Here is a 16,358-nt window from a genome sequence, read left to right as displayed (position 1 = left end):
CAGGCGTGAACCACCGCGCCCAGCCGACTCTACTCCTCCATTGGGGTTGGCCTGATGGGTCTAAAGGTCAACACAGGCCTTTTGTTACAGTGATTGGGGCAGGCACCTGGGCCTGAGCCCAGCAGGGCAGAGCATGCTTCCTGGCCACAGGGATGATTCAGGAGTGAGAGAATGTGACCTTAATGAGAGGGCTGGTTTGTTAGTAGTATCTGGAAAAGAAGTGTCCTTTCCCTTGAAAGAGAGTCTTTCTCTTCAGGGGGATGTGGTGGCAATTCTGTGGCTACTATAGCCATTTTAAAAAAAATTGCGGTAACATATTTAAAACATAAAATTTATCATTTAACCTCTTTGTTTTTTTGAGATGGGGTCTCACCATGTTGCCCAAGCTGGTCTTGAACTCCTGGCACAAGCGATCCTCCTGCCTCAGCCTCTGGAGCAGCAGGGACTACAGGCGCACACCACCACACCTGGCCATATACATCACATGTTGTTTATACATTCGTCTATCGATGGACATGGGCATCACCTCCACCTTTTTAGGCTGGTCACTGCAGCCTAAATTCTGTCTAATTCTGTTTTTAATTTTAATTCTGCTCCTCTGAGATGAGCCAGCTTGTGCATGAAGCAAGGCTTGAAGGAGAACACGGCTGCATGGATCGCTGGGCCACTGGACTGAGGTGCTTTGAAGGTGGCAATCCACGAACCTTTGGATTTGTGGATCTGTGGATCTGTGAAGCAATGAGTTTCTTCATTGTTGAATTGAGGTTTAGGTCTCTTACAGCTATGAGCCGCCTAGATGATGCATCTTCCGAGAAGTTGCCCAGTTTCAAAAATTACAGAAGAAAACAAAAATGAACAGAACCACAGAGAAGTGGGAATTATTTTGCTGATGTGAATGCTGGAAAAAAAATTAAAGTATGTTTTGTAGCAATTTTAAAGCAATATTTTGTAATTCTATCTCTGCGAGTTACTTCTTTCCTGATGTATGTGAGTGACTAATCTTATGAGTGAAGGAAAAACAGAAAAGAAAGACAAATTTGATTAGGTTAAAATGTTTTGTTATACCCGATGTATGTCATAAATCCCTTATTTTGACCTTTAAAGAAAGATTTTTATTGGCCAGGCAGAGTGGCTCATGCCTGTGATCCCAGCACTTTGGGAGGCTGAGGCGGGTGGATCATGAGGTCAGCAGTTCGAGACCAGCCTGACCAAAATGGTAAAACCCCGTCTCTACTAAAAATACAAAAATTAGCCGGGTGTGGTGGCAGGCACCTGTCACCCCAGCTACTCGGAAGGCCAAGGCAGGAGAATCGCTTGAACCTGGGAGGCGGAAGTTGTAGTGAGCCGAGATTGCACCATTGCACTCCAGTCTGGGGGACAAGAACAAGACTTTGCTTCAAAAAAAAAAAAAAAAAAAGAAAAGAAAGGAAAAATTGGGTTTCCATATACTGACTCTGAATAAATGCTGTGTGGATATGCAGAGATGGAGAACCAAATTATAAGCCTCCCCAGGGCTCTCACATGTCCCTATCTGCCTCAGCTGATGGATGAGCTAGAGGCTGGTATGTGGAAATCCTCCTCCGAGCTACGGCACAATTTGGTAGAAAATGCCCTGAACTGAATGGCAACTCTGGGGATCTTCCCTGGCCAAGTGACCCTGGGACTCTCTAACAACTCTGGGCCTCTGTTTCCTCATCTGTATAATGGGTTTACTAATGCCTACCCTATCTACTCTGCGGTGTTGGTAGCGAATGAGAAAAGACTTTGAAACTGAAAAGGGCTATGCAGATTTAAGGTTCCTGGGGGCAAAATATTAACCCATTCTTTTATGCAAGTTCAGCAGCCTGGGGGAGGGTGGTAATCACTCTCACAAAAAGCTAGGCCAGCCTTCTTATAGTTATTATTTATTTTGAGACAGTCTTGCTCCATCGCCCAGGCCAGAGTACAGTGGTATGGTGCCATCCTAGCTCACTGCAGCCTTGACTTCTTGGGCTCAAGTGACTCTCCCAGCTCAGCCTCCCTGCTCCTAAAAGCTAGGACCACAGGCATGTGACCTCGCCCGGGTAATTTTTAAATTTTGTAGGGATGGGGTTTCACTATGTTGCCCAGGCTGGTCTCCAACTCTTGAGGCCAGCCCTATTGCCTACAGTATGGAAGCCCAGGCTGCTAGGCCTGGCAGTGGTCGAGCACCCTGGAAATGGGCTCCTGAATGCCTGTGGCAGCAGCTAATTGTGCATGTGTCTTCAGGGAGGAAGATACAGATTTCTTTCCCTTGATTCTGCTTATAAAGAGCTGGATTCTGACGCTGGGGCTTGCACACTCACAGACATTTCAGCTCCTATGGCTACCATGGGAAATGCGATTTTCATCTGACAGTGAAGTAACTGAGGCTCAGAGAGTATACATACTCAGGATCACACAGCTTGTCAGTGTCAGAGCCCAGATTTCAACCAAGAACCCTTGTCTTGGTCTCCAGGGTTCTCCGCAATCTTCCATACTGCCTTTGTCTCCAAGCTTTGGGCTCTTGCTCCTGCCATGTTCCTAGATCTCTGAGGGTTTCCTCCCTCTGCTCTCCAGTCTGTGGCCCTGGGCATTTTGGGGTGGGAGTTGGGTAGCCAGGAGAAGAGCAGATCCTTATGAGTAGAGACAAGGCTTTCCAGGGACAAGTGTTGGCAGCCCTGGGGGCCACACTGCCTGTGGTCTTGCTGCCTCACTCTCACCCTGCCGTGGGAACTGCCCATGGAATAAACATTGACACTGGAGAGGTTGATGTAATGACAGTTTTTTAGTGAAATAGTTTTCCATTTATTGATGCCAGAGGAAAAGTCTCCCCTGGAGATATGTGTGTAGGTGGGAAAGGGACCCAGAAGTAAGAGCTACCCATCTTCTATGGGTCCAGTGGATCACAGAGCCCTTGGCTCCAAGGGCAGGGGCACTACCTCATTCACTCAAGTGTCCAGAAGGCCTGCTGCACAGCTGGCATTCAATACATATGTGTTAAATGAGTGAATGAATGAATGATGACTGCCGTGAAAGATCGTCCCATCTGCCTCGCTTCCCGTGTGCTCCGCATCTCCCAGCTCTTGCATTCTCCTGCTCGCGGTCTCTCCTGCTTCTCCTTCTGGCTCTAGTCTCCACCCACTGACCTCCTGACCTGTCTGAGTTCATCTCTTCATCTCCCTCCTCCTGCCCCTCCCTATGTGCTGCCAAGGCACTAAGGGCTGCTTTATAGGTATGGTTTTAGTTAATCCGTGCAGGCTGACATTCCCCAATCCACAGCTGACAAAGCTGGGACCTGATGAGGCCAGGTGGCTCACCCAAGTTTCACACGTAGGAAGTGGCTGGGCTGAGACACCAGCTCCCAGTGGCTGAGCTCTGCACCTTCTGAACCCAACTGCACAGTCTGTGGAGCCCTTCCCCCAGAGACAGCTTCCCCTGGAAGCTTCCCAAGACAGAGGTGAGGGGAACAGCCCAAGCTTCTCAAGCATGCTGCCAACACTGAGCGTTCTCCAGCCAGGCACAGGCCTGTGGCCTTGGCTGCATTTCCCATGTGGGGAGAGAGGAGCTGCGGGGCTGAGTGAGCTGCCAGCGGAGACCTTCTCTCCTGTCCAGCCACAGATACAGGCCCGTGCCTCGGAGCACAGCCCGACGAAGCCTGCCCCCTCACTGTCTTCCTCCGGGACCAGGCCACATGGCTCCCTCTGGGTGGGGTGGGAGAGATGGCTTTCAGAGAACCCCCTCTGACGCATGACTCTGCAGCAGGAGGGGAAAAAATCCCAGGCCTGTAACAGAGCCTGTGGTTTCTTAGGGAAAACCACAGAAAACTCACAGCTTGGGATGGTATACCCACAATCCCCACTGCACAGGGTGTGGCCCAAGGGTACCTCGGCTGCCAGTACCTATCTTGGCACAAGACTCCACTGGCAGCAACTTCTGCTTGCAGCCATTAGCGCTTTTGTCTGGCAGTGCCCCCTGCACGGGGTGGCTGTGCTGTTGGTGGCCCTTGCCGAGGGGAATTCCATAGGAGGAGGAACAGGAAGGCGATGTCGGGCAGCCTCCTTTAGCCTCTACTGACCAGCAGCCAGGTCGGGGATGTCGGGGGGCTATGGTAGCTTTGATCCCACCGCAGCCTGGAGCAGCTCCTCCAACCTTGACTCCTGGCTCACCCCTACTCACAGCCTTCCCATCCTAGCCTGGTGGATGCCCTGTCCTTTCTAGGCCTCGGCAGCCACCAGCCTGGCTGCGGGTGGCAGAGCTGCCACCATGAATTTCCAAGCCTCAAAAGCACACTGCGCTTAGATGCGTTGCTTGGCAGTGGCCTTTCTGAGCAAGGCCCCGGGGGACTGTGTGGAGCTTGGGCGAGAATGTGGTTGTAGAGCTGTATATGGGGCACTATCGGTGGTTTCTGTGGTGGGCCCACACAGAAACCTCTGTTGTGCTTTTACCCTGAAGCCAACAATGTGCCCCAGCTATTAGCTCACTGGACAGTCTCCAGGAACTGGGCCCAATGCTGCTTCCTCCCACAAAACAAAGCTATAAACTATTGTTCCTGCCCTCCTCTGTCCACAGGCCCCACTGCCCACAGCAGGCATGTCTGCCAAGGCCAAGGTCAAAATTTGCCAATGAGCTCAGCAGCGGAAACTCAGTAGTCTGCGCGGTTACCTCCTCTCTCTCCATCAGGGCATTGGAGGTCATTCCTCTCATTTTTTTTTGAGATAGAGTCTTGTTCTGTCTCCCAGGCTAGAGTGCAGTGGCATGATCTTGGCTCACTGCAGCCTCAACCTCCTGGGCTCAAGCAATCCTCCCACTTCAGCCTCCCAAGTAGCTGGGACTACAGGTGTGCACCACCATGCCCAGCTAATTTTTGTAGAGATGAGGTTTCTCCACATTGCCCAGGCTGATCTCGAACTCCTAGGCTCAAGTAATCCTTCTATCTTGGCCTCCCAAAGTATTGGGATTACAGAGGTGAGCCACAATGCCTAGCCCCTCCCTCTCTTAATCTTCCATTTCCCTTGCCCATCTCAGTTACAAGGAGCCTTGGCCGTGGGAGATGGATCAAAAGTCAAGGGTTTGATGCTGACTTCCATTTTATGTGTGTGTGTCTTCCCAGGGCTTCCTGGCCTCTGCCTCGACATCCCAACCCAGGAGTAAGGACAGTCACTAAGGGGTCGGGACAAGGGTCTGCCTGCTGTCTCCACTTAGCCTCCTCTGCTTCTCTTCTCGACATTGGCTGTCTGTCTGGGGTTAGGAGAGGATAAGAGGAGGTAGAAGATGAGGCTGGGGTCCATACTTATGGGCGAGAGTTGCCTCCTCTGATTTGGAGTCACAGGCAGTAGCCACAACCCAGCCAGCCCTGTCCCAAGGAAGATCAAGAAAAAGCACAAAGGGCTTAGTTCACAGCTCCCTCTCCTGATGGGGCCAGAGACCCTGCCCCCTGCCTCTGGATCCGCCAGCGAGTGCTTAGACCGGTGTAGATAACTTCCTTTCTTGTCACCCCTACCCCTGCACCCTGAAAGTCTCCTGAATTGGAGTGGGGGAATCAGTATGAAAGAAGCTGGGTCTGACCGGGCCTAGGAATAACGATCTGGGAGCATGACAGGCTGTTCTGGAAGAAAGGGAGTTTCTTTCCCTCTTCCCACTCTTTCAACAGCCTGGCTCTAGTGGCAACATGTATCAGGGAATTATTATTATTATTTCCATTTGGGATATAATTATAGTAGCTCTGAGAGCAACGCCTTACACACTTGGCACTGCTGGGGAACGTCGGCATGTAAGTACATCACAGAGTCATCTTATCTCACCCCCTCCACTCTCTTCTCCTTGCCCTCCAGCCATGCTCCACCCCCACAGACATTTATGGGACTTCTCTGGCTCTGGGCCAGGAAGATCATTTTGACTCCCTCCCCATTCCCCAATGCCTCTGGAGGGCCCCCTTTTTAGCTGCATCCTCCACTGGGTCCAAACCCAGCAATCCCCTGGTTGAAGCCTGGGCAGCTGAGATCACTGGTCTAGAAGGGCCTTGCTCTGGATTCTCAGCTGGGGTGGGGTGGGGGTACACAGAGCCCTGGCAGCCAAAGGAACAGGGTCAATGGCTGGGCAGGGTTGAGGAGGTACGGGGACCTGGGTGTGCAGGGGGCTTTGGAGTCAGTTCTCTGACTGGGGTTGCTTCTGGAAACTCCCTCCAGCTCCACAGTAGCCCGGGGCTGAGGGGGGCAACCTCAGCGATGTCGACCGGGCACGGAGAAGGTCCTGGGGCTGGCCTGTGGCCAGGAAGCCTGGCTGCTGGGTCCTCTAGGAGCTGCCCAGTGCAGAGGTGAGGCGGCTTGGTCACATGCTGGCTTCTTGGCCATTAGTTGTGGATGCAGTGTGTGGCACCAGGGCTGTGGAGATAAGCTGACAGCCTCCCCGTCCCGGGAGGGCCCCCTACAGTGGCGATACTGTAGCCTTGTTATCCTTCCGGAGGCGGTAACTCATGAGAGAGGCAGTGTGGGGAGGGCGCCTGGAGCCCTCTATCTGCAGGAACACATCCCAGTAATGCCTGCTGCCTATGAAAAGCCTGTGAAACCCGTTGAGAAGGATAGCCTGTGGCCACACGACTCCCTCCAGGATTCTGAAGGTGTGAGAATGGGCACAGCCCGTGGTCTCCCCATCAGCTACTCCCCTACTTCCCAAATTCTCTTATGACAAAGCCATTTGAGATTTATGTCCTTGGCCATCTTCTTCTTTCCATTGAGTGCATTTCTTTTTTTTTAATTTTAATTTAATTTAATTTAATTTTATTTTTTGAGACAGAGTTCCCTGGCTGGAGTGCAGTGGCACGATCTTGGCTCACTGCAGCCTCTGTCTCCCAGGTTCAAGTGATTCTCGTGCCTCAGCCTCCCAAGTAGTTGGGACTACAGGTGTGTGCCACCATGCCCGGCTAATTTTTGTATTTTCTGTAGAGATGGGGTTTCACTATGTTGGCCAGGCTGGTCTCGAATTGCTGATCTCAAATGATCTGCCTGCCTCGGCCTCCCAAAGTGCTGGGGTTGCAGGAGTGAGCAACCGTGCCTGGCCTAATTTTTATTTTTTAACTTTTGTGGGTACATAGTTGGTGTATATATTTATGGGGTATATGATAAATTTTGATCCAGGCATACATGTGTAATAATCGTGGATGGGGATGCATCCCGTCGCGTTTATCCTTTGTGTTACAAACAAGCCAATTATACGCTTTTAGTTATTTTAAAATCTACAATTAAATTCTTAATGACTACAGTCGTCACCCTGTTGTGCTATCAAATACTAGATTTTATTCATTCTTTCTACTATTTTGTGCCCACTGAGAGTACTTCTGCTTAATCAAATCGTTCAGGAGGTTCAGATCATCATAGGGTAGAGAATGCTTATAGGTATGGGATGACATAAACTTGAAGGACGGCTTGAGTTGCTAGGGAAGAAAGTTGCCATTGGATTTTGGTAAGCCATCTTCCCTTTTTCACCATTCAGAGAATCTACAAAGAATCATGTAAGGAAATCAAGTGCTAGAGTGCCTTTCACCCATGAAAGGTAGGACATACCTACAAAGTCTAAGACTTGCTCTCTTTATCCTCTATGTATGTTTCTGACTTTTTCCCATCCCTTTTCTCAACACTCACCCTTCTATGTTCTGGGGTGTTAAGTGACAGGTTTACCCACAGGCAGGGGATGCAGAGGGGGCCATAGGAGGGAGATGGCCATCTGTGCGTGATGACCAGGTATGAGGTGGAGCACAGGCTAGAATGGTGAGTTCTGCCTAGGGTGGAGTGGAGTATTAGAGGAAGCTCCTGAAAGGAGGAGAAGTTCCCCCAGTGGACAAGTTGAAGAGGGTACTCTGGGCCCAGGCAGAGTCGCCAGAAGAAATACAGAACACCCAGTTAAATTTAAACTTCAGATGAACAGTAAAACAATTTTAGTACATGTCCCAAATATTGCATGAGACATGCTTATACTAAAAAGGTGTTCATCATTTATCTGAAATTTAAATTTAACTGGACATTCTGCATTTTGATTTGCTAAATCTGGCAATCCTAGATCCAGGAAACAGCAACAGCGAAGACAGAAATGGCATTTGTGGGAAGGAGGAGTGGTTCCACCGGGCCTTGGGCCATCAGCAGCTGTGATTGCTTTCACTGGGAGGTCCTGACTTAGCTCAGGATTACAGACCACCTGCCAGCAAGTGCCCACACCCGTTGCTCTTAGCTACTGCTTCAGCTCTTTCTTTCAGGACCACCTCGTCACCAGCTGGAGAAATCCAGTTTCAAGTATTCATAATTCATTCTTTTCTTCCTGAAGCTTCTGTGTCTAGTCCCTTCCCTTGGGTCAGTATTCATTCAAGCCACCCAGCATACATTGAATGCCAGTCCTGTGCCAGGCAATGTGCTTGACATTGGGGATTCAGTGGCACATGGGACAGACATAGCCCTTGACCACATGGAATTTACAACACACATTTTAAAACCTCTTTTGACAGTATACATGGTGAGTGGGAGCAGACAGTAAAAAATACACAAACATATACAAACTAAATTTCTCCCATCCTTTTTTTAAAAAAATAGCTATTTTAGAGAAAGGAAATTTCTGAGACATCTCTGTAATTCTTAACTCCTTCTGCATTTGCAGCATGGACCTAGAACAACTGAGTTCTCCAAGTTTTCTCTGTTCCTTCTATCTCATGCACTGGATTGAGAACACAGAGGACACAGAGGAAGGAAGAAGGTGACTGCCCTAGCCCCCAAATACTAGTCTGGTGACAGACACAGAGCACACATTAAAAACAGAACACCAGCCGGGTGTGGTGGCTTATGCCTATAATCCCAGCAGCACTTTGTAAGGCCGAGGTGGGCAGATCACGAGGTCAGGAGTTCGAGACCAGCCTGGCCAACATGGCGAAACCTGTCTCTACTAAAAATACAAAAATTAGCCGGGCATTGTGGTGGGCACTTGTAATCCCAGCTATTCAGGAGGCTAAGGCAGGAGAATCGCTTGAACTCGGGAGGTGGAGGTTGCAGTGAGCCGAGATCGTGCCAGTGCACTCCAGCCTGGGCAACAGAGCGAGACTCCATCTCAAAAGAAAAAAAAATTAACACAAAAAAACGAGAACACCGCCCCCGCCAAACTACCTCTAGTACAAATATTAATATTTAGTTAGAAACACAAATCAGTAGCAGCAGTACTGTTATTTCTGTCAAGGCTAATGCTGGCCTCCAGGTGCTGGACATGTTCTGAGTACCGAGCGCTTTCCATGCATCGCCCCCTTCAGCAGATGCCCCAGAACAGTCCTGTGAGTTTGATACTATTATTAGCCTACAGTTGAAGAAATGACAGCTCAGAGAGAGTGGAGGATTTGCCCAGAGTCTGACAGCTGGCAAGTGACAGGGCTGGGACTGAAGTTTAGGGTTTGAGACTGCAGGCCTCACACACTTAACCACAGTGCTAAAGACCTGGAGGGATTATCGCTGAAGACTGGAATTGCCTGTGAGTAAATGCAAATGTGTGTGCATTTTCACAAGTGTGTTTGTAGTCCACATCAAGGAACTGCTCTCAACCAATCCTTTCACTGGCTAAGGGCAGTAATTAAGCCGAGACAGTAATTAAGTAAATTAGCTCAAGGGTAGAAACACAAACCTCCCCTCATTGTTCTCTCCTGCCTTGGAGGATCACAGTCTGGTTTGGAATTTCTAGAACTGGTAGTTCTTAAAGTGCAGTCCCCAAACCAGCAGCATCACCATTACCTGGAAACTTGTGAGAAATGTAACATTTTCTGGCCCCACCTGTGATTTCTACCGATTCAGAAACTGAGGGTGGGAGGTGAGGTAGGGCCCAGCCATCTGCGTTTAACAAGCCCAGGTGATTCCGATGTTCCGGAGGCAGCATCACTTTCCAGCTGCTACGAAGTTTCTCAGGCCTTTGCTCTATCAATGAGGCAGAAGGCAGCCCTAAGGGGTTCGTGGCTGGGACTAGGGCTCCCTTGGTCTAGTGCACCTGACATGTGATAGATACTCAATATGTGTATTTTGGATAAATGAGTAAATGGCACCCAGTGTCCCAAATCTCTGTTACTATGACAGGAGCAGAATGTCAGTAGGATGGCACCTTGGCTCAATTGGCCATGCCAGAATTCTCAGGAGTTCAGGCTGACCAGAAGCACCTTGAAGAGCAGAAGATGAAATTTTATGTCCACTTGAGTTTCAGGATGAACACAGACCATGAGAGGGGCTCACCATCCTTCTGATCTTTGGAGTTTTTTTAAAAATTATTTTTATTTATTTATTTATTTATTGTTATTATTATTATTATTTATTATTATACTTTAAGTTTTAGGGTACATGTGCACAATGTGCAGGTTAGTTACATATGTATACATGTGCCATGCTGGTGCGCTGCACCCACTAACTCATCATCTAGCATTAGGTATATCTCCCAATGCTATCCCTCCCCCATCCCCCCACCCCACAACAGTCCCCAGAGTGTGATGTTCCCCTTCCTGTGTTCATGTGTTCTCATTGTTCAATTCCCACCTATGAGTGAGAATATGCGGTGTTTGGTTTTTTGTTCTTGCGATAGTTTACTGAGAATGATGATTTCCAATTTCGTCCTTGTCCCTACAAGGATGTGTCCATGTGTTCTCATTGTTCAATTCCCACCTATGAGTGAGAATATGCGGTGTTTGGTTTTTTGTTCTTGCGATAGTTTACTGAGAATGATGATTTCCAATTTCATCCTTGTCCCTACAAAGGATGTGAACTCATCATTTTTATGGCTGCATAGTATTCCACGGTGTATATGTGCCACATTTTTTTAATCCAGTCTATCATTGTTGGACATTTGGGTTGGTTCCAAGTCTTTGCTATTGTGAATAATGCTGCAATAAACATACGTGTGCATGTGTCTTTATAGCAGCATGATTTATAGTCCTTTGGGTATATACCCAGTAATGGGATGGCTGGGTCAAATGGTATTTCTAGTTCTAGATCCCTGAGGAATCGCCACACTGACTTCCACAATGGTTGAATGATCTTTGGAGTTTTAAGCAGGAGGTGTCAAAAAGATTAAGTTACCATAGGGATAACTGGCTTTTCTAGTGACGTGCTGAGAAACCAAGTCTCTGTATAGAAAGCCCTGACTTGTAGCATTTGCTAAGTCCCTTGGTGTAAATACTTCCACCACGGCCCATGGATTTTCAAATCATGAGCCGATGGGAGCCCGCTGCAGCATACAACTGGCCCTGGAAGGCTTTGTTAGCAACTTCTTTAAAACTGAAAGACTACTTGTCTTTAAAGCATACAAGTTATATATATATATATATATGTGTGTGTGTGTGTGTGTTTATTTTATACATATATATATATATATATATATGAAAATCAAACAGCACAGAGGGCCTAAAATGAGAAATCTTCCCCCGGCACCCTGAGTCCCACCTCCAGAGGGAATCATCTTTTCTGGTTTTAGTTCTACTGAAGATCCCTTCCATAGCTACAAATGGTGCACTTAAAGCAGCACATATTGGTCTGTCATCCACAGGGGGCACCAATGCCATGGCTTGGAAGACCAGGAACCTAGCTCATCTCCAGCACTGCTCACTCCCCACCGCACTCCTCCATTCACCTGACTATTTTGATGATATTTTGCAATTCTTCTATTGGTTACTTATTTGCCTTTAAGTAATAATAGTCACTCATCTAGTGCTTATTTTTAGAACAGGGGCTGTTATAAGCACTTAAGACATTAATGATTGAATCCTCACAGTGACCTTCAGATGTAGGTACTATTTTCATTCTCATTTTATAGATGAGAAAACTGAAGCACAGAGAAGTTAAATAACTTGCCCAAGCTAGTAAAAGGCAGAGACAGGATTCAGACCCAGACAGTGTGGCTGCAGAGTCCATGTTTTTTTGTTTTGTTTTGTTTTGTTTTTGTTTTGTTTTTGAGATGGAGTTTCTCTCTGTTGCCCAGGCCGGAGGGCAGTGGCGCGATCTTGGCTCACTGCAAGCTCCGCCTCCCAGGTTCGTGCCATTCTCCTGCCTCAGCCTCCCGAGTAGCTGGGACTACAGGCACCTGCGACCGCGCCTGGCTAATTTTTTGTTTTTTTAGTAGAGACGGGGTTTCACCGTGTTAGCCAGGATGGTCTCGTGATCCGCCCGCCTCGGCCTCCCAAAGTGCTGAGATTACAGGCGTGAGCCACCGCGCCCGGCCCAGAGTCCATGTTTTTAACCTCTCAGAAGAAGGTTATGGAAAGTTACTTAGTGTTGGGGGGACAGTTGCAAGGGAAATGACAATATGAGTATAAATAGATAAGCAAACTGCAGCCTATTTGCTTTATTGCCCTTAGAAAAAACCAAGTCAGGTGAGGGATGATGTCTATACAAGCATATGTCTGCTCTTTCATGTAGACAGAGATGCCCACAAAGCTTATTGTTGGGCTAGAATGGCTCAGGACACTGTCCACCACAAGAAGTATGGCAGATGGGAGCTGCTAATGGTCTGTGGACAAAATAGCATTTGTATTTGCATATGAAGACCCCAGTGATTTAATGAAGATATACCTATGACGTGGGCTTTCCCCCCACCCATTTTTCTTTCATGGTATTTGTTGGATGGACCCCTTCAAACTGGAAGGTTTCAGTCCTTTCTCAGATTTGGAAAACTTTCTTTCATTATTTCTTTGATAACTTCTTCTCTTTTATTTTCTCTGTTGGAGTTTGGGCTTCTTAGGTTGATTCTCTGTCTCCATTTCTGTCTTCTTGGCTTATATTCTGGGAGATTGATTGACCTTTTTCTTCTAGCCCTTGTAGTAAATCTTTCATTTTAGCGATTATACTTTTAATTTCCAAGAAACTTTCTTCTTCTTTAATTGTTCCTATTCCACATCAACCTGCTTTTGGTTTATAGCCTCCATTCATATCTTCTTCGGTTGCTCTGAAGTTACAAATTAAAATTATCATAGAGTTCCTTGAATTAGCTTCATTTCCTTTGGGGCCAGTTGTTCTGGTTCTTATCTTGATTTGACTATTTCCTTTGGTTCTTTGAAATCAGCTCACACTCAGTACTCATTTGTTTAAGCTACTCTCATTGAGCCTGTACTCTGTCTCTGTGGGGTGCTTTGCCTGGGCTGGAAATATGAGGTTGACAAGCGCCCGTCCTCATGGGGCTTTCCATTTCTCAATAGACTCTATTCTGACAGATCAGATTTGCTGAGCATTGGACCACCCTGTACTTAACATTTTGGCTTCTTGTCTGCCAGACCCACTAGGCTGTGAGCAGGGGCTTGAGAACCATGACTGTGTCTTATTGATATATTTATCACAAGTAGGCCCTTGGTAAAAGTTTGATAACTCTTGGGTTAAATAGAACTGAACTGAGTTTTGTGATGGTTGATATATTTACACATGCACACACTCACAGATGATGTAGAGGTGTGCCGGGGGCTGCTGGAAGGATAAGAAAGACCATGACCAAACGGCATTCTTCTGAAAGGTTTTGGAGGAGCATGAGAATGTGAGTTACCCCAAGCTCACTGCCCATCCTGCTCACACTCCATTCACATTTAAATAAACACCAAGGCCACCATTGCCTCTTCTCTCTCCAACAGCTACAAACCCTCACTTTTGCCTGGAGTTTCTTAGCATCCAACCTTCTCCCTTGTAAAGTGTGAAAACCTGTAATTCTGTACTCAATCATTTTTTAAAAGGAGGGTGGGCAGGAGTGTACTTATCTGCCCTTCCGGAGATGGAGGCCTCCTTCCAGAGGGCATGGCCCATGGGTCTACAACTTCAATACTTTCATTAGTTCATGCATTCATTCGTTCAGCCAGCCATCAATCTTTTTTTTCTACAGATGTGGTCTTGCTATGAGTGGCTCCAAGTATAATCATACCTCACTGCAGCCTCGAACTACTAACCTCAAGAAATCTTCCTGCAGGCCGGGCGTGGTGGCTCATACCTGTAATCCCAGCACTTTGGGAGGCCAAGGCAGGTGGGTCCCCTGAGGTCAGGAGTTGGAGACCAGCCTGGCCAATATGATGAAACCCCATCTCTACTAAAAATACAAAAAATAGCCGAGCATGGTGGCACGGGCCTGTAATCCCAGCTACTCAGGAGGCTGAGGCAGGAGAATTGCTTGAACCCAGGAGGCAGGGGTTGCAGTGAGCTGAGATCGCACCACTGCACTCCAGCCTGGGCAACAAGAGCAAAATTCCGTCTTAAAAAAAAAAGAAAAAGAAAAAGAAAAAGAAATCCTCCTGCCTCAGCCTCCCAAGTAGCTGCAACTAGAGGCATGTGCCACCATGCCCAGTTCATCAATCCTTTATTAAGGAAATCCTGTGTGTTAGACGTAGTGCTAGGCTCTGGAAACAAAAAATTAGATATGGTGCCCACCTTCCAGGAGTTTACAGTCTGGGAGACTGTAAGTAAATTATTTGACATTTCTCCAGGAATAAGCAGCAGGGTCTTACCTTCCTTAACCATGTGCTTCCATTGAATTTGATCTCTGTTTGTGGGCCTGTCCCCACATTAGACTACTGCCTCCTTAGGTTGGCACTCAGTAGATATTTGTTGGTTGTATGAATGAGTGAATGAATGAATAAGTAGCATTGCCTAGCATGGTGGGACATGCCCCGCTTCTGCACTCTGAAGGGACCCATTGCCAACTCCCTAAGTATCACAGAATCCCAATAAGAGTTTGAGACCCATGGCAAGCAAAGAGAGACCCGAATTCTCTGCAGCCTTCCTACTTCTTCCATAGACTCACCCTAGGGAGGAGTTGACTCCAGACCCGGGGACCCCACTGGGGAGGGCTGGACTGGTTAAAATTGGGATCAAAGTGAGCATGAGAAATGCAAAGTCTCATTAACAACCAGCCCAGACAGCCAGCCCAAGAGGGTGAGGGCAGCAGGAGTAAAGGGGTGGAGGGTGGGTGAAGGGAGGCTCCAGGGTGCAAGGAGTTGCTGCTGATCCATTATAGGGTTAAAGAAAGAAAAACACATGTTAACATTGGGGCCAGGGCCTAAAGTCTGTGCTGCCTGTTCTGAGGCTGAGGCTATGGCAAGCACAGAGGAGGCTTGGGCTTCATCAGGGCGTTCTGCCAGGCACGGTCCCGGAGCCAAACTGATCTGTGAAGTCACTGGCCAATGATGGGTGACACTGGAATTCCCCCTTTCTCCTGTCAGAAGCAACTGGCCTGTCAGAGCATAGGTTCTCCCATTTGCTTCCCAGGAGGTGGGGAGGCCCTTCTCTGAGAAGTCATCAGTCCTCTCTTAGCCATGCTCTTGTGCAGCAGGGCTGGGCTGGAGGTGTAGATGCTGAGTTCTGGGAAGTCGTGGCCGGGAATCCAGAAGCGGAACTGGCTTCCTCCAGGATGCATGAAGAAGCTATCGGAACCTCCTCCGACTGGCTCCCTGTGGCAGCTCTTGGCAAGAACACAGTCAGGCAGGAACAATGGGCGGATGGGCCCAGACATGGGGGATCCGAGGCTAGGGCTGTGGCCCTGTGAACATCCAGGGACCATACAAAATACATAGGTCCTATTTGTAGGGCCATGGCTGCTGGGCCTGAGCGCAGGGGGGCCTGAACGCAGGGTGGCTTGGGCATGCCCAGATGGATGAGTTGCCTGGGAAGGAGCTTGAGGAAATAAATGGTCTGGAGGGTGGATGCCAGGACCCGGAGGCCCAGCTGCCTCACAGCCAGCCCAGGAGCACCTCCTGCTCCTGGTTCCAGAGCCCCCAACCTCACCCAAAGCTTACAACATTGTGCTTATGGGGTGGCGGGGGCGGGGGAGGGGGTCTTGGGAGGCCCCAGGAAGGTGGGTAGGTAGGCTTCCTGTGGCAAACCTCTTGGGGGCTCAGGGTCTCTGGCTGATTAGGCGGGAAGACCTTCCTCGGGCTCATATTGGGGTGGGGGCAGGACTGACCATAAAGGGGACACAGGGATATGGCTCCCAGAGACCTTGTGGTGAAGACAGAATTGTCTTCAAGAAAAGAGCAGCAACTTGAGAAGCTCTTTCCATTTATGTGCTTTTCATAAGCCCTTGAGAAATCGGTGTTTCCCCTTCCCCAGTGCCACCTCCCCTTCCCCAGCAATTCCAAGAAGCCGTGACCGGGGGGTGACTGTGGTGGTGTCCAGCCCCGACCTGAGCCCCAGGGGCAGGAGCAGCAGTGAAGGCCCAGTTCATCCTCGGACAAACGGGGAGAAAGGCAGCTCCTGAGACCTTTCTGGAGGTGGCCCAGGCCAGCCCACCAAGGCTGGGTGCCTCCCTGCTGGTGTGGGGAAGCCCTCCTGGGTATTTCTCTGCATCCCTTTGTCTTGAACACCTCCAAGGGCGGGAGGGGGCAGAGCCCTACT

At 48.7% G+C, this 16,358-nt stretch overlaps 2 annotated features.

Moving 5' to 3' along the window:
- Positions 3,879 to 4,454: an enhancer, noted in NCBI's record as "H3K4me1 hESC enhancer chr1:211805695-211806270 (GRCh37/hg19 assembly coordinates)". NCBI's record gives its function as "activates a minimal SCP1, AML or CMV promoter by ChIP-STARR-seq in primed H9 embryonic stem cells {active_cell/tissue: H9 hESC(primed)}" and the evidence as "EXISTENCE:reporter gene assay evidence [ECO:0000049][PMID:30033119]".
- Positions 15,313 to 15,813: an enhancer, noted in NCBI's record as "H3K4me1 hESC enhancer chr1:211794336-211794836 (GRCh37/hg19 assembly coordinates)". NCBI's record gives its function as "activates a minimal SCP1, AML or CMV promoter by ChIP-STARR-seq in naive H9 embryonic stem cells {active_cell/tissue: H9 hESC(naive)}" and the evidence as "EXISTENCE:reporter gene assay evidence [ECO:0000049][PMID:30033119]".

The sequence above is a fragment of the Homo sapiens genome, chromosome 1 (assembly GCF_000001405.40).
Source record: "Homo sapiens chromosome 1, GRCh38.p14 Primary Assembly".
NCBI classification, from domain to species: domain Eukaryota; kingdom Metazoa; phylum Chordata; class Mammalia; order Primates; family Hominidae; genus Homo; species Homo sapiens.
Note: the sequence above shows the minus strand (reverse complement) of the source record. Positions and strands in the feature narration are given on the sequence as shown.